Source organism: Homo sapiens, chromosome 1 (genome assembly GCF_000001405.40).
Source record: "Homo sapiens chromosome 1, GRCh38.p14 Primary Assembly".
Classification (NCBI taxonomy): Eukaryota; Metazoa; Chordata; class Mammalia; order Primates; family Hominidae; genus Homo; species Homo sapiens.
In genome coordinates, this window is record NC_000001.11 from 245082900 (window position 1) to 245104969 (window position 22070).

A 22070-nucleotide genomic window follows, 5' to 3' on the forward strand; every position below is an offset into this window, starting at 1 on the left:
AGTTTCACTATGTTGGCCAGGCTGGTCTCGAACTCCTGACCTCAGATGATCTGCCCACCTCAGCCTCCCAAAGTGCTGGGATTACAGGCATGAGCCACCATACCCAGCCCTATTTTGTTTTATGTGGTCATTTATTACGGGGATCCCCAACCACCAGGCCAGGTACTGGTGCCAGTCCCTGGCCTGTTAGGACCCCTGGGCCACACAGCAGGAGGTGAGCAGCAAGAGAGTGAGCATTACTGCCCGAACTCCGCCTCCTGTCTGAGAAGCATTGGCATTAGATTATCATAGGAATGCGAACCCTATTGTGAACTGTGCGTGTTAGGGATCTAAGTTGCATGCTCCTTATGAGAATCTAATGCCTGATGATCTGAGGTGGAGCAGTTTCATCCCCAAACCATCCCTCCCCTCCCCTGGTCTGTGGAAGAATTGTCTTCCATGAAACTGGTCCCTGGTGCCAAAAGGGTTGGAGACTGCTGATTTATTATGTAAAGACTGCGGTAAATACCACGGCATTTACTCATTTTATTGCATAATTATAGATACAGACCAATTCCAGAAGATGTCCTTCTTCGAGCTTTTGAGGTATGTAAACTCCAGCTTATATGCATATACATATATATAAATACATTTATTTACATACACACATATATGAAAAATTTATCATGTAGAACTTATTCACCAAATGAAAAATATAATATCTATCTTTTCTTTTCCCCTAGGTTTTAGATTCAGCTAAACGTGGGTTTCTTACTAAGGACGAGCTGATCAAGTATATGACTGAAGAAGGTAAGTGTGATTTATTACTTATCACAATGACTTATGTGAGGAATTAATAATTTGTTAACAGTTATGCGAAAGTTATAGGGGATACTTTAAAATCAGTCATTCTGGTGAAAGTTATTTACTGTTCCTGCTATTTTGGCTTGGGGATGGTTTCTGTTCTGTGGGGGTTAAGAGGACAAAGAGTAGGGAAAGGGGAGATGGGTTGTTGTCTCGTAGAATTTTGTGAAGCACAGTGATTACTTCTATAATTTCAGGCATTGCATTCAGAGCATTTCCAGAATAAAAGATATGCCATCTGGAAAACATGAACTATCGATCACTGTAAATGAAGGCCTCTTCCTAGATTGAAGATTTGAATAAAGAATATAAAAATTCCGCCCCCCCCCCGGCGCCCCGGCTTTTTTTTTTTTGAGACGGATCCGGTCTTGCTCTGTCACCCAGGCTGGAGTGCAGTGGCGCGATCTTAGCTCACTGCAACCTCCGCCTCCTGGGTTCAAGTGATTCTCCTGCCTCAGCCTCCCGAGTAGCTGGGATTACAGGCACAGGCCACTGCGCCCAGCTAATTTTTTGTATTTTTAGTAGAGATGGGTTTCACCATGTTGGCCAGGCTGGTCTCGAACTTCTGACCTCAGGTGATCCACCCATCTTGGCTTCCCACAGTGCTGGTAAAAATTCCCTTTTAAAGAGCTTTTCTGTCAGTGAAGTTACAGATAATGTAGCCTCAATTGAATACTGAGGTCATTTTTAACACTAAAAATGTCCTTTTTTAATGTTAATTGAACCATATATATTTGTTTTGAACATGGCCCATCATACATATATGCATACACACACATAAAACCTGCACACTTATATATATATGCCAACATATTTCCTTTAGGAATTCTCTCTGCTAGGCTGATGTGTAAATTTGTTTACACTGAAGGTCAGTAGCCTGATGGACAGTCTCCTGAAACCATCCTCATATTGGTCCCCTTGCCTTCTCCCATACAAAGCTAGAGCTCTCTGGTTCACAGACTGGGTCCTGAATGACTCAGAGTTGCTAATCACTTGAGGCAGAATGAAAAGCGCAAGTGATTTTGAGTAGGGAAGACTAAGACTGCATCTACACGCACAACTGGTTTGACCATTCCAGCTTCATCCACCTTAAGGCGGAATACAGAGAGTGAGGGTCAGAATGGCAAGGCCGTCACAGCTGCCACCCAAGAACTCTGACGCCATTGTTAAAATTACCTTCGGGATTAATTCTGATGGGGATGTTACGACTTTCAAAGCATCAGCTTCTTCATCCTGAGGATTAGTCTAAAGAAAGTAAATCCTAGGTTATATATCAGGCAACATGAATTTAGTCAAAATGGCCCAAACAGTTAGATTTTCCTACTGTTGTGTGCCTACTATATGTTTAATATTTAGTAAGTGTAGTAAGGTATAATGATACTTAAATCTACTTCCTCTCTCAAGGATATTACAATCTTATTTGGGAAATAAAACTAACATAAAATAATTCACAATACAAGACAATAGAAAGCTAAATATCAGAAGATCAACTAGGGCTGGCCCAGCCTGGAAAACTTGGTTTGGGAAGACTTAAAGAGAAAATAGGTTTTTTGAGATGGTAGAATGTATATGGTTAAATTGTTGAGGGCAAAGGTAAACTCTTGTGCATTATAATTCTGTCACACATGGTAGATATCAACAAATGTTTGTTGAATGAATGAGTGAATGAGTAGATGATGAAGACCAGGTGAAGGGGCTAATGAGAGGGAGACATTATCGATGTGTAAAACAGTCTGAACAAAAATGGGGAGGTAGGAATGAACATGCTATTTCAGAGAGAAAATAAGCCTAGCTGGCCCAGAGGGTAATGTTGGCAAACAGCAGGAAATTAACTTCAGTAGACTTACTGGGACTAAATTGTGGAGTCCCAGGCTCAGGAGTTTGGAATTCATCCTGTGGGCGATGGAGAAGTATTACAGGCTTTTGAGCAGATGACTCACATGGTGTGTGAGTGATTGTGAGAAGGTTTTTCTGGTGCTGGTCGGTTTGTTAGATGCATAAGAAAGAGGTTGGACTAGGGAGGCCACTTAGAAGGTTATTTCAGCATTTTGAGGGCACCCAAATAAGGGCCTGACCTGGCAGTGGGAATGGCAATGGGAAGAAGGGATTGGTACAATAGGACTGTCTGTGGCAGGATCCATGGGTCATGATGAGTAACAGAGTGTAGGCGACAAAGCTGAGAGCTGAATCCAAAGTACCACCAAGGCTTTGCCCTCGATGGCGAGTATGATGGTAATGAGACTGACTCAAACAGAAAGGTCAGAACAGACCGCAGTGTATACAGAGACAGTGCGACCACGTGGTTTACTTGGAGGTGCTGTGTGATAATTTCGAAAATGGTATGTTTACAGAGAGTTCATGGTACTTAAAGATCAACTATTGAGTATCTCAGCGGACTAAGCATAGGACAGGTATGGTCAAATAAGAATACATATGTTTTCAATTATTCACTCAGCAAGTATTATTACAAACCTTCCACATATATGAACCAATATGTTTGGAAGTAATATGTAAGATGTAAATCTATACAAATCTAAGTTACGATTTAATATAACAGACCCATCAGCTAAGTGTAATAGCAGTTGACTAGTTTGGTAAAATAGGAGCTTAAGAATTGCTGCTTTGAGAGTCTCAGAATTCTACAAATTGTTTTTAAGTACATTTATGCTATATAACAATATGGATTCAAGCTACTTGCACATTCATCCTAATATCCACAAAGTATCAAACACACTAGTTTGAGAATATGCATTCCTACAGCCCTGGATGTCATATGATAAAATAAATCACACTGAATCAAGTTCCTACAAGATAGAAGTCCCTAAGTGTCCAGGAATGTGTATTGCATCAGACAGTGTTTAGCAGCCGGGAAGATCTCAGAACAATTTTTTAAACAAACACTTGCATGTTGCTGCTTCTATGCCAGGTACTGTTCTAAGTCCCATTCAAATCATAACACGTTTCATTCTCATGACAACCCTATGTGACAGGTGGTGTCGTTATCACCCCCATTCTAGAGACAGGTAAGCTAAGGTGGGGAGCTGTGAAGTGACTTGCTCAAGATCTCAGAGCTCGTGAGAGGCAGCCAGCATGTGGATCCAAACTTGTGCTTTAACCACTCAGTTATCTTCCTTCCATCTTTCATCAAATACTGGGGCTTCAAGTTAATCCTCTGGTAATTTCAAAAGTTTTAATCTAAATAAATAACCTTGTTCATGATGTCTGTATGTCTTCCTACTGTTTTGCCTGAAATGACGTGTTCTAGAGGTTGCTTGATCTATGACATCTGCAGGCTAAAAGAAGTCCAGAATCTACCAGGGTGTACAATAGCCTTGTCTTTGAACCTCTGGACTGTCGTGATGTCCTGGCTCTACAGCTCCAGGGAGCGTAACTAGTGGCACTGTGGGAGCTTGTGGGGCTCCATGGCTATTAAGCTGGCTAGTGGAAAGAGAAAAAAATCAGATGATCCTAAATGATAAATTTTCCTTTTTGTCTCTCTGAGGTGAGCCTTTTTCTCAAGAGGAAATGGAAGAAATGTTGTCTGCTGCAATTGATCCAGAATCAAATTCAATTAATTACAAGGACTATATAACAATGATGGTGATAGATGAAAATTAAATGTTCTAAAGATAATTTCTGATTGAAAGAACAATTTTAGAAATTGCTTGTTCTTGTTAATTTCACATCTTATCTTAGGATTCCTATATGTGATATTTAATACCTTGTGACATAACTATTTTAAGACACTTTGTTTTTAAAGATGATCGTAACACTTTAAACCAAATTTAGTATGTCTAGCCTTACAGAATGATAAATTACTATTTATTTAAAAACTATTCTTAAAACATTTTAACATTAGAATGGATTGTTGTTTATTTTCTACAATAAAACTCAGGTCACCTTCGAATTAATTAAGCTGACAAAATGAAAATGACTTAATTACCCAAGGTTTGGCATGTAAAGATCTTAAGAGGGGGCAGAACGAACCACTCGAAAACGAGTAGCAGTGTAATGAAGGCTTCTTTTTTAAACAATAACAAATGCTTCATCAATCTGAGTGTGGAAGGTGATTTATCAAAATAAATATTACTAATTTATTTTTTTATGAGTGCCAATTACAAATATCATTTGGGATAATAATAACTTAGTGTAAACATTTATATTTGCTGATCCAGCATGTCACCATTTATGGAGTAGCTAAAGGAGTTGAGATCATTGGAACTAGAGAAAAGAAGGTTGAGTGGAAGTTGATAGTGTAAGGTAGTGGCAATTCTCCCTTTGTCTTTAGAATTCTCACCCACTCCGCATATCTGTCATGGGAGCATTGTCCTGAATACTGAGTAAGAATACTGAGAAATGTTATGGTGTGCAAATGTACAGCTCCTGAAAGAGCAGAATGAAGCACAAGCAGTCACAATGGAAAAATATATGGCATGGCCACTGCCTCCTCCTTGCAATTCTCTCCGATCTTGGCATCTTATATGGCAACTATATGGCAACTTACAAGCAAAGGGGAAGATAAAGTAAAGGGAAGTGAACAATTTTCCAAACTTAGATATTCTGTTATAACAAGACACACACACACACACACACACACACACACACACGGGTCTCTATTTGAAGATGGCTTCACCACTATATGTGTGTATCTACATAGATGTAAACATTTAGAGTTGCTGTGAGCCTTCCTCAGGCATGTAGTCTTGCCCCCAAAAGAGGCGGCTGCTACCCAAGAGACTGTCGCTGTTCATTCATTCATGAAACACTGAAGGAGTACCATGAGATGATGTGCTGGGAACCGGAGTCCCTAACGAATCCAGGTCACAGTTTAGTGAGGGAAGCCTGCAAGGCAGTCAGCAGCCACATTTCAGATAGGGGCATGTTCAGGGTCCCGTGCAAGTGCCGAAGAGAGGCAGCTACTCAGCCTTGCAGGGAGAGAGCTTTCTGGAAGATGAAAGGTGCTAGTGAGCGGAGAAGGCTTCCCAGGACAGGAAGCTCCTGACTTTAAAACGAGTAGTTTAGTAAGTGGGTGGCGGGGCACAGGGCATTTCAGCAGGTGAGCAGCAAGTCCAGAAACCCTAGAGGTGTCATGAAACATGGAACCACCTGGGAATTGAAAGCAGCTCAGTATATTTGGAATGTGGGAGATTTGGGGGTCATGATGAGAGGTGAAATTGGAGTGGTAAACAGGAGCGGTATCATTAAGGATATCGGGTTAGGTGCTGAGTTAAGGTTTCAGTGTGAGAGTTTGGACTTTATTCTGAAGATCACAGAGAAAGATCATTTGTAAGCAGCATGGAAAATAGATTTGAAAGGTCAAGACTAGAAGTGAGACCAGTTTGTAGGCTATTTGGTTGGTGGGAGGGGATAGACTGGGAAAAGTCAAGCATGAATCCCAGGTTTCTGGCTCGGACGATGGGTAAAAGTGCCATTCATTCAGATAAGAAGTCCAAGGAGCAAGTGGGGCATTTGGTAAGCAAAATGATGAGGTTGGGTGCAGACACCTTGGGACACCCAAAGGGTGACATTCAATAATCAATTGGATATAGGAGGGAGATCTGGCTGGAGACCTGGATTTTGGAACTGTCAGCATGTAAGTAGTATTAATGCCTTGAAAGTAGAAGAGAAGACAGTCTAGAACAAAACCATGGGGGATATCAGCATTTACGGGAAGGCAGAGGAAGAAGAGCCCACAAAAGAGACTGGGAAGGAGAAGCCTGAGAAGAGGGAAAGCTGGAAAGAAGCATCTTGGATGCCAAGATCGGAGAGAATTGCAAGGAGGAGGCAGTGGCCATGCCAGATGTAGTGGAGAGGAGAGGGAAGTTAAAGACGGAAAAAACGTCCATTGGTGTTAGCAATGGAGAGTTCATTGAGGGCCTCTCCCACAGCAGATGTGGGGAAGCAACAGGGTATGGAGTTGAGTGGATGGAGTAAGGAATGGATGTGAGAAGGTTGCAGCCTGGAGGACAAGTTATTCGGCAGTGAAGAGGAGGAAACGGACAACAGGCTCGGGGAGTGATTTTTGGAAGATGGGTGGATGTAGCAAGTTCATTTCTAGTCCAAGGGCTGAGAGCCCACAGAGAAGGTGAAGGGAGGGGCCAGCTTCCAGAGCAATAAAGAGATTTAGGAACAATGAACCAACGCTTGTGGTCCCTACCTCATGGCCTCTGCTGCCTTTTGGAGAGGAAGGTAGTAGGTTATAGAGTTTCAAGAGAATGGTGTAATTTTGGAATATCTCTTGTGGGAAATGGGAGAAAGAGTTGAGAAAGAGCCCATGTAAGGATTTTCAAGAAACCCTGGAAGATTTTGTGCTCAGGAGCAAAAAAGAAAAGAAAAAGGTAGATTGTTGTACCAGGGTTAAGGTTTTGTCATGTGCGTGAGGTGGAAGGAATCAAAGGCCGAGGAATCTGGGAGAAAGCAGTTCCGATGGTGTCCGTGGGGCTAACGCATGAGGGAAAGACCCAGGTAGGAGGAGTGGGTAACAGGTAGGAGGAGTGGGTGACAGATGGGAGGGGGTGAGAGGGCTCGGGGCCCTAAAAGGGCAAGTGGCTGGTGTTGGTAGCAAGGGGTGGTCTTTCCTGCCTGAGTGATAATTCCTGAGTGATAATATGTTTCCCTTGAAATTTCGCTTCGATGTGTTCTTAGAGTGTTTCTTTTCTTCTCCTGTGTTATTATGTGAATAAATAGTAAGAGTGGCTGACGTTTGTTGACTGTTCCCTGCGTTGCAGGCACTGTCCTAAGTGCTTGACGTACATGAACTCATTTCATCCTCACATCCACCCATCGGTGCAGGTGCTATTAAGTTATCCCCATTTTAGAAAGGTGACAATCAAGAAGTTACACAGCAGTAAGTGGCTGTATCAGCTTTTTCTAGGTTATATTGTGATAACAAAACTCCCACGTGTCAGAGGTTTGCAAGAATGAAGCTTATTTCTGTTTACGTTTTTTTTTTTTGGTCAGCTGGGGTCATCCTGGACTCTGGCCTACGTGTCTTTGTCCTACTCATGGCCTAGAGAGGTAGGATGACCGTCTGTCCTGCTTTGCCCGTGGTAGTTCCAGACTATACCTGTCCCAGTGTAATTATTAATAGGTCTCCTTTGTACTCTTAGAAATGTTCCAGTTTAGATGATTAATATGTGGTCATCCCATTCAAAAAATAGTGAGTAAAAACGGTGGTGAGGAATCGTCACTTCTGGAAGGCTTCCTGACAGATAATTCCAGCAGTGGTAAGAATGGAAGGCATTTCTTCCTTCTCTAGTTTCCCAAGATCATTTTTTTCCCCAGGATAACCTGAGATTTTCCCAAGGTAAAATCCAAATAGAGACCTGATGTGCCACTGGCTCGGCCGTGCATGCTAGAATCACCAGCCAGAGATGAGGATGAACCGCGTGCCTTCAGGACAGGGCGGAGACGGAGGAGGAAAGGAGTGTGGTGATCCTCGGAACATCAGCAGACAGGCTGTTGATGATAGGAACACATTGCAGCGGGGAAGGAGGATGGCTGAGATATGAAATACCCTTCAAGGTGGACGCATACCCAGGGGCATGTCATTCGGTGGCAGGGGCCAGCACGGACATGCAGCACTGAGGCGTGTGCTAGCGCCCAGTGCGTCGACCCAGGCACGGACTTGTTTGGAGCATACAGGACAGCTCTGCGTTAAGACCTGTAAGCCATTAAAGAAGTACAGTCTGGTGAATGAACCCTAATCTCTTGATGATCAAGTGATGACATCATATTCTGTCTCCGAGGAGACACCCTCTTGCACAGAAGGCAGTAGAGGAAGCTTGCGTCGAGATTGCCTACCTCCCCAGCCCCACCTTCGAGGGTTCTTTCAAAAGTTCGGACTGATGTTCAACTTCACATCTTGTCTCAAGGCAATCCTCTCTGTTTAGTCTCATAGAGTTGGCTTTGTGGAATGTAATTCATTTTTATCTTTAGCACAAATTTGTCTGTTTCTTTTAAGGCCACCAGAAAGCACAACATAGACTCCCCACAGAAATCTCATTTTATCTCCTAAGTTGCAGAATAAACGTACCTTGTTTGCAAAGGGAACATTTTCCTTTACACTCAAATCACTTCAATGTGTATTTTGCCTCTTCAGCTCACTGACCTCGCCCGCAGCATCTGATGTAAGTCACCATATGCCATTTCCCGACTAGGAGAGTGCTTGGCCTCTTGTGCAGGAAGTTTGCTTACCCTCATGACTCCTGGCTTCCGCAGAGCCTGCCATACCCCACAGCTTGGCCGGGCCCTGTGGAAAGCCATCTCTATTCTCACACTGCTGGGGAAGGTGCATGACTCAGGACCCGACACACAGGCCTGAGAGTCTGGCGATCTTGTGCTCTGATCCCAGCTTCATGTGTGACTCACTCTGGATCAGGCGCTTCACTTCCTGTGCACCTCTGTCTGTAAAATAGAGAGCCCAGCTCTAGTCCTTCTCCCTCCTGAGAAGCAATGCAGAGATTTAGTCCCCTTTGCAGTCACCCAGTGTCTAAGTACCAAATGCCCAAGAGACAAAAAAGAGTCCAAGATAGCAGGCTAGTTGGGATTACGACTGTTCGTTAAGGGCAGGAGTATTTTCTGTGGGATGGAATGTGTTTAGATCTCTCTCTCCTAGTTTCCTGTCTTCCTTCCTTTCGCTTTTCTAAATCCTTCCATGTAAGAAAGTACCCTGTTTATACAGACAGTTCCTTGAAGATCAGTGTCACTACCTTACCCTCCTGGGCTGCTTAAATAAACGGAGAGCCTCATGGGTGCCAGGCATGGTGGCTGCCTCCTAGGCCTGCCTATTTCTGAAAGCATGGTTGCCAATCATCTGCTTCAGGAGCATCTGGAAGGAGGGTGTTAGAAATGGGAGGTGTGCCCCATTCCAGACCCCTGAAACAGAATCTCTGGAGGTAGGGTCCAGGAAACTTATATTTTTAATATTCTCAGGGGATCCTTATGCACGCTTGTGTGTAAAAAGCACTACCTGGGGCTCTGATATTGAATGAAAGTGTGGGATTTGGAGTTAGGCTCTGCTGCTTACTGATTACGTAATTGGCCCAGACATTTAATATTGCTGAGCTTCCCCGGAGGTCGAGGCTACAGTGAGCCATGATTGTACCACTGCACTCAGCCTGGGTGACAGAGAGAGACCTTGTCTCAAAAAAATAAAAAAATATTGCTGAGCTTCTGCATCTTAATTTGTAAAGTGGAAAAAACACTTTTCGGGGCTGGTGTGAAAATTAAATGAAATAATAAAAGTGAAAATGTTTAAAAAGCTGTAAGCTATGACACAAATAATTATTTACAGAAAGCCAGCTAGGCAGAGAGGGAGAGAGAAAAAGAGAGAGGGAGGGGCAGGGATGGAGATCTGCTGCCTGGGTGTGGACAGGGAGGTGGGGAAGTAGGTAAATAATAGAAAACTAATTGGAGAGAACGTGCGCATACCTGGGCTGCTGGTGGGGAGATAGCCGAGGTTTGCTGTCATGGTGCTATTAATTATAAGGCGTTAAGTTTATTTCTAGAATGTGAAAACAGGAGGCCTTAAGAGGTTTCTTTTTTTCTTCTTTTAAAAATGTGCTATCAGTCATGGTACTTTTAGAGCAGCAGGAATTATTTACCTCATCTAGTGGAGAAAACACTCTTAATCATTTGAAGAAACTGTTATTTTTCTTAAAAAAGAAAAATCAGGCCAAGCACAGTGGCTCATGCCTGTAATCCCAGCACTTTGGGAGGCTGAGGTGAGCGGTTCACTTAAGGTCAGGAGTATGAGACCAGCCCAGGCAACATGGTGAAACCCCGTCTCCACAAAAGTACAAAAATTAGCCAGGCGTGGTGGTGCACTTATAATCCCAGCTACTCGGGAGGCTGAGGCAGGAGAATTGCTTGAACCCGGGAGATAGAGGTTGCAGTGAGCCGAGATGGTGCCACTGCACTCCAGCCTGGGCGACAGAGCAAGACTCCATCTCACAAAAAAAAAAAAAAAGAAAGAAAAAGAAAAGAAAAGAAAAATCACAAGTTGAAAAATTGAGGCCAAACCTAGTTCTGTGGAGAAGGAGATAAGATAAAATAGCACACTATGAAAATCGGGCCATGGTTTTATATGTGTGGCAGGTCAAAATGCCAAATATATCTTGCTGGCTCCCCCCACACGCCCCGGCATTAAGTTTTCAGCTATTAGTAAGAAATCTCAAAAGAGGCTTCTAAGCATTTATCACCAAACTTAGGAAATGTACTGAAGTATAGGTGAGTATTGCATGACTTTAAATACAGCTTTTAAACATGTCAAGATGTGTTTCCATGCTCTGAATGCCTAGTTTTAAACTGTCTTGCTGGCTGGTAACCATTCCTGGTTACTAACTCAAGGTATGATCCGCACTTAGGCAAAGCTCACTGTTAATGAGAATAGAGGTAAGTCTATTTTCCAACTAGTCTTGATAATGTTTAAGTTTTCTTAGTTCTTCTTTATCAAATCCGATTAGCCTGTCTTTGTTCTTACACAACATGATGAAGAGCTCATCCTGGTGGAATTGTCGGCCCCACTGTTCTCGGAAAACCCCCCTGTGCTTAGGTGTTGGGATATCTTCAATTCGAGGTTACTTTTTAGGAACTTTTTAAGCCTCTTATCAGTTTTTGAGGACTGGTGTCATTAAAACCAAATAACATCTGCAAATCCTTCACTCAGTTGGCCACCTGTACGGTTAGTGATTGCACGGAAATAAGCAAGGTGGAATGAGTACACGAGCGAAGGCTCCCCGAGCTTCCTTCAGGACAGCCGCCTGCCTTCCTGATACGTGCATTCCTGGTACATGCATTTCTGCTGTATGGACCCCAGGAAGATGTCAATGAGATTTAACTCTAACACAGAACATAAATATAAATTAAAACAAATCCTGGTTTTCTTCCTGCACCCTGAGGAGTTATCTTGCGTTCCCTGCAGGGGCACCTCACTGTGAGATGGCTACGTTAGAGAATCTTCTCAGGAAGGGCTCTTTTGGAAAAACAATGTAAAGTGTAAAATACTCTAAAAATTACTAGAGTGGCTCCCAAGCAATAAAGAGAAATTGGAAAATGCCAGTAAACAAAAAAGAAGAGGAAAACCCCTTAATTCCACAGAAGTTAACCACCATTACTAATGCTTTGCTTCATCTCTTCTGAAAGCTTTTTCCAAGGATGTGTCTCTCTATAGAACTTCTTTAGAATAATATCACTGTGGAACCTATCAGTTAGGGTCCTTGACCATAAGGACAGAAAGCAGGACTCACTGGAAGGCACCTGGGCTGAGGAAAGAGTGCTCACAGAGCCTACTGGAGACTGGGGCACCAGGCTCAGGCCAACAGGAGCCAAGGGGGCATCTGAGGGCAAGGAAGCATGGTGCAAGAGGATAGCAAACATCACACAACCGGAACAGCCCGTGCAGGGCCGCTGCTGCAGGGGATGGCTTTGCACTGGCTCAGGTTCAAGGCCTGCAAGACACAGCCCACTGAGCTGAGCTCCGTCTGGCCTGGGCAGGCAAGGAAGGACCTTGCTTCTAGGCAGCCATGTGGAAGGCAGGAATCCTCCAACCACCAGCTACACCCCGCTGGAGGGAGAAAATACTCTGGTGAGAAATCAGGGTACTATTGGGGAAGAGAAATAAATAAATAATAAACACGACAATACTACAGGATCAGACCATATATGCTATTATGTAATCTGCTATTTTAAATGAATACATAAGGAACAATCTTTCCATGATAGTGTGTACTCACCTAAAACATAACTTTGAGTGACTGGATAGTATCTTATTGTTTGGAGATACCTTAATTAATTAATTAATTTAGAGACAGGTCTCACTGTGTCACCCTGGCTGGAGTGCAGAGGCACGATCATAGCTCACTCCAGCCTCGAACTCCTGGCCTCAAGCAATCCTCCCACCTTGGCCTCCCAAAGAACCGGGATTAGAGCCACCACACCTGGCCTATTTAATTAGTTCCTCATACTTCATAATTTAAATAATTTTCAGTTTTCACTATTATAATAAATTGTGACCAATATCCTAGTAGTTAAATCTTAATTTAATTGTTCACTTAGAATACATTCCGAAAAGCAGAACTGTTGGGTCACCTTTAAAGTGATGGGGACCTATTTTTAAGTCTTTTGCTAATGTGTTTTCAATCTGTCCTGCAGAAAGATTGTTCCCACATTCTAAACCCTCCTCAGCATATTTTTGCTTTTTATTTTGCAATTAGATAGGGAAAAATAGTATCTCATTGATCTTTTAAAAATTTGCATTCCATTGATAAGTGGAGCTTTCTAAAGGCCCACAGCAATGTACTGAAAGATTCAATTGGATTAGCTCCAGGAAGCACCAAATTGGAGCCTCACAGATTGTTTTTTCAGATAGAAACAACAAACCCCTCGGCTGCTATGAAATGGAGCCCACAAAGCACAACATGACAGACAGAATCTGAATTCCAGAGACACAGTTTCTTTCAGAACAAATATTATTTGCAGGAGGCAATTAGAATGAGCCACTATTGCACAGTAGACTTAGCAGGAAATGCACAAATATTCAAGCAACAAAATAGGAACTGGGGAAATAAGCCTGCAAAAGAAGTGAAGAATGTCCAACACAGGCGGGACGAGGGGCCAACTGGCCTCCCGCGCTCACACCAAAATGCCAGCTTCTTAGGCTGTGACAGTGTTTCCTAATGCAATTCATTTGCTCATTCAGTCAGCATTCATTGGATTCTCACCATGTGCCAGACACTGTGCTGGGTACCAGAGATGCCAAAATGAGTATGAAACATAGCCCTTGTCCTTGAGAGATTTCAGCCTCATGGGAGAGACAGGAAGACCAATAATGACACTGAGCAAGAGTTGTTCAGCAATGTTAGCAAAGTGCATTGGGGTCAATGACAGCAGCTGGCTCTGCCTGTGGGACTCACAGAGGACTTCATAGAGGAAGTGGCAGGATGAACTGCAAATGTTTTATGTGTTCACATTGGCAATTCTGCTGCCAATACTGGGGGGTGAGAATGTTCTAGAATGAGATGGCTTGAGGCTAATGCTGAAGTAGCTTTTTAATAGCATGGCTTAGGGAAAAGAGTGCTGAATTCCAGCTGTGTCAGGTATAGGATATGTGACCTGGGGAAAGTCACGTGATGTGTCTGTCCTCTGTTGCCCATCTGTAAGTGACAGAAATCATAGCTACCTTGTAGGCTTACTCTGAGCATGATGGGCTGTCTGCACACAGGGCTTAGTAAGTGGTATCTGTCATTACAAAGTGTTCAGTAAATATCTGCTGAATGAATGAATATAAATATTTTCTCTATATAGTAAATATCTTCAATTATATAACGAGGTTGGGTACAGGTATTTATAGGATGTCCGGGAGTAGGGAAGTCCATTTTCCTAAACTTGTGACCTCAGGGACTTCATGGAAAGGGTGTACATGTCATTTTAACTTCATTCATTCAATAAAATATTTAATTAGTGATATTCTATGCTAGAAACAATTCTAGTAAACTGGTCGGGTGTGGTGGCTCACGCCTGTAATCCTAGCACTTTGGGAGGCCAAGGTGGGTGGATCACTTGAGGTCAGGAGTTCGAGACCAGCTTGGGCAACATGGCAAAACCCCATCTCTAAAAATGCAAAAATTAGCTGGGCATGGTGGCGGGCGCCTGTAGTCCCAGCTACTTGGAAGGCTGAGGCAGGAGAATTGCTTCAACCCAGGAGGCAGAGGCTGCAGTGAGCTGAGATTATGCCACTGTACTCCAGCCTGGGAGACAAAGCAAGATTCCCTCTCAAAAAAAAAAAAAGAAAGAAAGAAAGAAAAGAAACAGCGCTAGCAAACAAAACAAAGTCCCTGTCCTTAAGGAACTTGAATTCTGGCTGTGAGGTTGACAGTAGGAGGCAGATAATACATCAATAAACATATGTCATGTCGGGATTAACACTATGAAGAAAAATGAAGCAGGATAAGGGGTGAGAGTGATGGGGTACTGTCCTATCTAGAATGACATGGAAGTCCCCTCTAAGGAGGGGATCTTGAGCAGTGGCCTGAAGGAAATGAAGGGGCATGGGGAAAGGGCATTCCTTGTAGAGGAACATCAAGCACCACGTGTTTGGCAGCCAGCAGGATCAGCAAGGAGCACCCCAGGCCTTTGTGGCCTGAGTGAAGAGAGAGAAGCAGATGAGGACGGAGAGGTGGGCAGGGCCCCGAGCATGAAGGGCCTTGTGGGCCAGGAAAGGATTTGGAGCTAAATGTGGAGAGAAGAAGAGATGCCATTGAATGGTGCTGAGCCAGTTAGGGGACATTACCAGGGAGATGGTGTCTCAGGCCGGGGAGATAATGGTGGATAGTGAAAGGCGGTTGGATTTGGGATCTATTTGGAAGGTAGAAGCAACAGGATTTCCCAGTGGATGGGATGGAAGTAGAGAAAAAGACACCAAGAATGATCACAAGGTTTAGGTCTCAGCAACGACATACTATTCGTTAAGGTTGAGGGGGAAGATCGAGAGTGTGGTTTGAGACGTGTTCCCACTGAGAAGCCAACCAGACATCCAGGCTGTCTATATAAGTCTGGAGCTCCGGAGAGCCTGGGGTTGGAGTGGTCAGTGCACCGAAGATGTTTAAAACCGTGGGGCTGGATGGGATCCCCTAAAGAGGGAGGGTGAGTAGGGAAGAGAAGGGCTCCGAGGGCTGAACCTGGGGGCAACCCAAAGTTAGAGATAGGGAAGGAGAAAGATCAGCAAAAGATACAAGGCAAACATAGTATCAGGGCAATCCCAGGTCCTATTCCGTCCCCCATCCTGTGTCCCCAGGGCCTCCATCACCCAGTTGTTTCTCTTCAGTGTCCTTCGGAGTCCCTGAGGCAAGCTGGACTCACATAGACTAGAAAATTCTAGTGTATTTTGTGTGCAACCCAGTGGTAGCGCCGCGTTTTTCAGTTGCTTTGAAATCTACGAATATCCCTTCTCATCACAGTCCGAGTGAACTGTCCTGATGCTGTGGTTTCTCAGTGTCTCTGAAATTCTTGTGACCTTCAGTCCTGAGGACCATTCTTCTCTGAGTAGGGAGGCCGGGGGTCAAGGCCGGGCCTGACTGCCATTGTTCTGACTGCAGAACTGAACGGAGTTCGATCCAGCGGAGCCCGTGTGGCGGCTGTCGAAAGTAAGCCCTTCACAAAAATGGTGTGCCTAAAGGTAACTGCAGAGGCACTGGGGTTCTTAATTTTAAACTATCAGAAAAGAATGAACGGGCAACATGTGATCCTCAGGTGTGAAATGCAACCATCACACCCTTGTCCCAGAAACACCGTTTCATTTTTTCTAAATCAAGTGTGACTCCAGTCCCTTACTGGCCAGTCATAATAAGAGGAGGCCTGGGGGTTTATGTGGTGCCTCTGAAACCTAACAATACGGACCAAGAACATGACAACTGTTGAACACCAAAACTGGCTCCGTCACCTACATCATCGCCTGAGCAGCCCTGTCCCCTCCCCAGTCCACTGCTCCGGAAACTGGAATGACCCTTGTGAGGAAACCAGTGAGAAGCTTGAGCAGTTCTCTCAAGGGGGGGCTTTTTCAACAGATTGTTGAAGGGACTATATCGACATGACGTTTGGCAAAAGCCCATAGTGAGACTAGAGGAGAGAAAGCTGAGTGACAGCCAGACCCTAGGACAAGGGAAGTTCTTCCCTCCAGTTTGCCCGCCAGCCAACAGCACAGCCACCAGCCCTGCCCACCCTTCTGATGCTGGGACGCAGCCCCGCCCTGCCCCGACACCAGGCCACAGGCCACAGGCCCTGTCAACAGCCTTCCCATTCCTGGCCCAGAGACCCTACCTGCTCTCTCCAGACAGTTCAGCTGTTTGTTCATGCAAAGCCTTTCTGAAAACAAAGGCCTATTAATTCTGCCCCGTTTGCAAGTGAAGCCCCAGTTCTGTGGGACTCAAAGCACACGCTGATCGCTTGAGGGGGTGGTGAGAAGACGATGTGAGGAAGGATGACTTATTTTTTTCTCTTTTAACAGCAGAAGGAAAAAACAAAAAATAGTAACTCCATAAATCATCCTGCCAGGCAGAGAGGAATCTCCCATTTTTAAGCTACAATACACGTTTTTGTAAAATGTTTTACTATAGAGAGTTAGTAGACAATGGTACAGTGTATCTCCATGTAACATCACCCTCCCCGCCGGCCATCAACTCGAGGCCAATCCTGTCCCCATCTCCAGAGGTCACCTCCCTCATAATTTTGAAGCAAATGTAAGGCATTATTTTATTTTATTCATAATTTTTTTCAGTAGGTATATTTAAAAGATACTTAAAAATAAAGGCTCTTAAAAATTACCTATAATACTATAATCGTCCCTTTAAAATAATGATGGTTTGGCCGGGCACGGTGGCTCACGCCTGTAATCCCAGCACTTTGGGAGGCCGAGGCGGGTGGATCACCTGAGGTCAGGAGTTCGAGACCAGCCTGACCAATATGGTGAAACCCAGTCTCTACTAAAAATACAAAAATTAGCTGGACATAGCGGCATGTGCCTGTGGTCCCAGCTACTCGGGATGCTGAGACAGGAGAATTGCTTGAACCCCGGAGGCGGAGGTTGCAGTGAGCCAAGATCATGCCACTGCACTCCAGCCTGGGTGACAGAGTGAGACTCCATCTCAAAAGTAGTAGTAATAATAATAATAATAATTGTTTAATGTTATCATATATCCAGTGTCGAAAAGATCAGTTTTCCCGTAAATGAATAAATGACCTTAAAAAAATACTATACAGAGGCCTGGCACAGTGGCTTATGCCTGTAATCTCAGCACTTTGAGAGGCTGAGGCTGGTGGATTGCCTCAGCTCAGGAGTTCGAGACCAGCCTGGGCAACATGGTGAAACCCTGTCTCTACCAAAAATACAAAAATTAGCCAGGTGTGGTGGTGCACGCCTGTAGTCCCAGCTACTCAGGGGGCTGAGTCAGGAGGATCACCTGATCCTTGGGAGGTTGAGGCTGCAGTGAACAGTGATCGGTCTACTGCACTCCAGCCTGGGCAATAGAGTGAGACCCTGTCTCAACAAAATAAATAATAATAATAATAATAATAATAAATACTTCACAGTTTGAATTAGGAGTCAAGATTCAAACTGTGAATCTTGTGATTGGCTAACATGGGTTTTTTGTTTGTTTGTTTTTTGAGATGGAATTTTGCTCTGTCACCCAGGCTGGAGTGCAATGGCGCAATCTTGGCTCACTGCAACCTCCGCCTCCCGGGTTCCAGCGATTCTCCTGCCTCAGCCTCCCAAGTTGCTGGGATTACAGGCACCCACCACCACGCCCGACTAACTTTTGTATTTTTAGCAGAGATGGGGTTTCACCATGTTGGCCAGGCTGGTCTCGAACTCCTGACCTCAGGTGATCCACCTGCCTCGGCCTCCCAAAGCGCTGGGATTACAGGCATGAGCCACGGCGCCTGGCCTGGCTAACATGTTTTTAAAGTTTCTTTTAATGTGTAGTTTTTACTCCCAATCTTTCTTTTATCCTTGCAGTTTAATTATTGGAGGAACCAACTTGTTTGTCCTGTAGAATTTCCCACATCCTGGTTTTGCTGGTTGCATCATCATGGTATATATAATTAATGTATTTGTCTGTCTTCTCTACTTGATAAATTGGCAATTGGATCTAGAGCAAATTCAGGTTTGATTTGGCGGGACCAGATTACTTTACAGGTGTTGTATCCTTCTATCAGGAAGTACATGATATCTGATTGTCTCTCTATGACGTCAGTACTATTGTTGATGAACACTAGGTCTATATTAATACATTATGGACTGCAAAATGGTGATAATCTAATTCTATCATTCTTCATTTACTAGTATTTCCTTGATTTATAAGTATTTTCCTTTATCAGTTTTCAATATTTTCAAGGTTTCTCAATATTCCTTAACAGCAACCAAGTAGTTTTTAAAATTATTTTTTAAAATTGATACATAATAGATGTACATGCTTTCAGGGTACATGTGATAATTTAATATATTTATATCAAGTATTTTTTGCTTTTTAGTATTATAATAAAGTCATGAATATTTGGTATATTTCAATCCATTGTCGTCATTATTCTTATTGATGTTCACAGTATCCCATTTTTGAACAGTGGGAGCTGCTTCAGGTTGGATTCTAAAAGCTTCCTGGATATATGGCATAAGACGATTTAGGTTCATCTTGTACCTATTGGTTTCCAATGACGTTATCAATCTTTTGTGACACGAGATCAGGGCCAACAGTGGGTTTTTGCTAATGATGTGTTATTAGGCAATAAGTAGAGGAAGAGTTTGGTTTGTGTTAGAGATTTACAGATCATTTTACTTGCTTTTGCACCGTGCTTCTACACAATAGTGCACAGACACACAACTCACTGGTTAAATGGAGACCACAGAAATCTCTGGGACACTTTATGAGCAGCCTAATATCTCCTGATTCTACAAGCTAGATTGGAGAATGCGTCTGGAGCCTGAGGCCAAACTGTGGTCCTACTAGTTCTCAAATCAAGACAGGATTCACCTGTGGGGAAAACGATGTGTACAGAACCTCTGAATCCATTGTAATAATCAGTGTCATTAGGAACTTTATTTATTTATTTATTTATTTATTTATTTATTTTTGAGATGGAGTCTCATTCTGTCGCCCAGGCTGGAGTGGAATTATGTGATCTCAGCTCACTGCAGCCTCCACCTCCTAGGTTCAAGCGATCCTCCTGCCTCAGCCTCCCAAGTAGTTGGGACTCCAGGCATGCACTAGCACTCCTGGCTAGTTTTTGTATCTTTAGTAGAGACGGGGTTTCGCCATGATGGCCAGGCTGGTCTCAAACTCCTGACCTCAGGTGATCCACCCGCCTTGGCCTCCCAAAGTGCTGGGATTACAGGCGTCAGCCACTGCACCCGGCCACTTTTAAATCCCAGTGGCAGGAGTACTTATAGATTTGCCTTAAATTCCCATTTGTTGGGAGAACAAAAAACATACAAAACAGAGTAGGAGGCAGGTCCAATACAGACTTTCGAAAAGTGATAAAATGTGGTAAAAGCAAAGCTTCACACATCCAATCAGATGTCTTCCTCATAAGGGAAAGAACAAGTAACCAGCTGGAGAGGCCCAGCATTGTTTATTTCAGTCCTCCACCCTGTGAGGCTGACGAGGATGAGAGGTGGTCCTCTATGGTCAGGAGGGGGGACCAGAGAGGCCAAGCATTGTTTATTTCAGTCCTCCACCCTGTGAGGCTGAGGAGGATGAGAGGTGGTCCTCTATGGTCAGGAGGGGGGACCAGAGAGGCCAAGCATTGTTTATTTCAGTCCTCCACCCTGTGAGGCTGACGAGGATGAGAGGTGGTCCTCTATGGTCAGGAGGGAGACCAGAGAGGCCAAGCATTGTTTATTTCAGTCCTCCACCCTGTGAGGCTGACGAGGATCAGAGGTGGTCCTCTATGGTCAGGAGGGAGACCAGAGAGGCCAAGCATTGTTTATTTCAGTCCTCCACCCTGTGAGGCTGAGGAGGATCAGAGGTGGTCCTCTATGGTCAGGAGGGGGGACCAGAGAGGCCAAGCATTGTTTATTTCAGTCCTCCACCCTGTGAGGCTGAGGAGGATCAGAGGTGGTCCTCTATGGTCAGGAGGGAGACCAGAGAGGCCAAGCATTGTTTATTTCAGTCCTCCACCCTGTGAGGCTGAGGAGGATCAGAGGTGGTCCTCTATGGTCAGGAGGGGGGACCAGAGAGGCCAAGCATTGTTTATTTCAGTCCTCCACCCTGTGAGGCTGAGGAGGATCAGAGGTGGTCCTCTATGGTCAGGAGGGAGACCAGAGAGGCCAAGCATTGTTTATTTCAGTCCTCCACCCTGTGAGGCTGAGGAGGATCAGAGGTGGTCCTCTATGGTCAGGAGGGGGGACCAGAGAGGCCAAGCATTGTTTATTTCAGTCCTCCACCCTGTGAGGCTGACGAGGATCAGAGGTGGTCCTCTGTGGTCAGGAGAGGGGACCGGAGGAGGGTGGTCTGGGAAGCACTGCTTGACTCAGAGCTTCCTAGTACCAAGCACTGGATCCACTAAAGAAAAGGTGGGGAGAGGAAGAGTGGCTGCTTGTGGAGTGGGCTATGGCTGGAAACTGGTGAGAAGGTGATGACAAAAGAAGGCCCATTCTCGGTCTAAAATCTGTAAACAAGATCCTAAGAAGGGAGAGTGGGCTTAGGGATAAGACAGAGTAAAAAGAGGCGGGGAAGTTGCAGACGGAATACGCCGAGCCAGCGACAATGACTGGGTGGTTCAAACTTTCTTTCCTGGGACAGTGGAAATAAGAAGAGGTGCTCACTTTGATGGGGATGTGGGGATATAGGAGAAGAGCCTGTGGATGGAGCACAACCAAACTGAGGTTATTGTGCAGCTGGTTTTGCAAGACACTGATCACCAGCATAGGTGATTAAAAAAGGACTTTCTATTAAGAAATGTTAACCCTTAAAGAGTAGGATCAATGGGCCGGGTGTGGTGGCTCAGGCCTGTAATCCCAGCACCTTGGGAGGCCCAGGCGGGCAGATCACCTGAGGTTAGGAGTTTGAGAACAGCCTGACCAACATGGCAAAACCTCGTCTCTACTAAAAATACAAAGAGCAGCCGGGTGTGGTGGCGCATGCCTGTAATCCCAGCTACTCGGGCAGCTGAGGCAGGAGAATCACTTGAACCTGGGAGGCGGAGGTTCCAGTGAGCGGAGATTGCGCCACTGCACTCCAGCCTGGGGGACAGATCGAGACTCTGTCATAAAAAAAAAAAAAAAGAAAAGAAAAAAGAATAGGCTAAATGGACCCCCGTGTATTTATTAGGCATTGCCATTAACATATGGCCAATCTTGCTTCACCTATTCTCCCTCAACAGTTTCCCTCACCTCCATCCTCACCCCTGCTCGTTATTTCAAAACAAATTCTAGACATCACATCATTTCACCTATAAATGCTTTGATGTTATCTTTACCAGAAAAGGTAGAGATAAGGACCTCCTTCCCCTTTTCCCCACACAACCATTAAACCACGATCATATCTTAAAAAGCTAACAATAATTCTGTAATGTCCGATATGCAATACTTTCAAATTTCCGCTCTTGTCTCATAAATATGCTTTTACCATTGGTTTATTCCAATCAGGATCCAAACAAGGTCCTCGTGTTGCATTTGGTTGATGCGTATCTAAATCTTTAACTTTCCCTCCCCTTTTGTTCTTGTCTTTCATTTG

General features: G+C 44.3%; 1 protein-coding gene across 21 annotated transcripts in view, besides 3 other annotated features; it reads left to right on the forward strand.

Annotated features, from left to right (window-relative positions):
* Positions 1-22070, forward strand: part of DRC8 (dynein regulatory complex subunit 8) — a 155548-nt gene that overhangs the window by 113218 nt on the left and 20260 nt on the right. For 7 of the 21 annotated variants that reach the window (XM_011544301.2, NM_032328.4, XM_047432064.1 and 4 more), the window contains 3 exons: positions 543-585; positions 723-789; positions 4346-4938. In XM_011544301.2, coding sequence (XP_011542603.1) covers positions 543-585; positions 723-789; positions 4346-4461 — 226 coding nt within the window. In that variant the 3' untranslated portion in view covers positions 4462-4938. Of the gene's footprint in view, positions 1-542; positions 586-722; positions 790-1040; positions 7544-8127; positions 8896-22070 lie in introns of those variants that run through there. The other 14 variants (NR_026587.1, XM_047432067.1, XM_047432068.1 and 11 more) reach the window with 4 other exon arrangements.
* Positions 2212-3411: an enhancer, noted in NCBI's record as "CDK7 strongly-dependent group 2 enhancer chr1:245248413-245249612 (GRCh37/hg19 assembly coordinates)". NCBI's record gives its function as "activates an origin of replication core promoter dependent on BRD2, BRD4, P300/CBP, MED14 and CDK7 cofactors, with strong dependence on CDK7, by STARR-seq in HCT116 cells {active_cell/tissue: HCT116}" and the evidence as "EXISTENCE:reporter gene assay evidence [ECO:0000049][PMID:35650434]".
* Positions 16088-16597: an enhancer, noted in NCBI's record as "H3K4me1 hESC enhancer chr1:245262289-245262798 (GRCh37/hg19 assembly coordinates)". NCBI's record gives its function as "activates a minimal SCP1, AML or CMV promoter by ChIP-STARR-seq in primed H9 embryonic stem cells {active_cell/tissue: H9 hESC(primed)}" and the evidence as "EXISTENCE:reporter gene assay evidence [ECO:0000049][PMID:30033119]".
* Positions 16598-17107: an enhancer, noted in NCBI's record as "H3K4me1 hESC enhancer chr1:245262799-245263308 (GRCh37/hg19 assembly coordinates)". NCBI's record gives its function as "activates a minimal SCP1, AML or CMV promoter by ChIP-STARR-seq in primed H9 embryonic stem cells {active_cell/tissue: H9 hESC(primed)}" and the evidence as "EXISTENCE:reporter gene assay evidence [ECO:0000049][PMID:30033119]".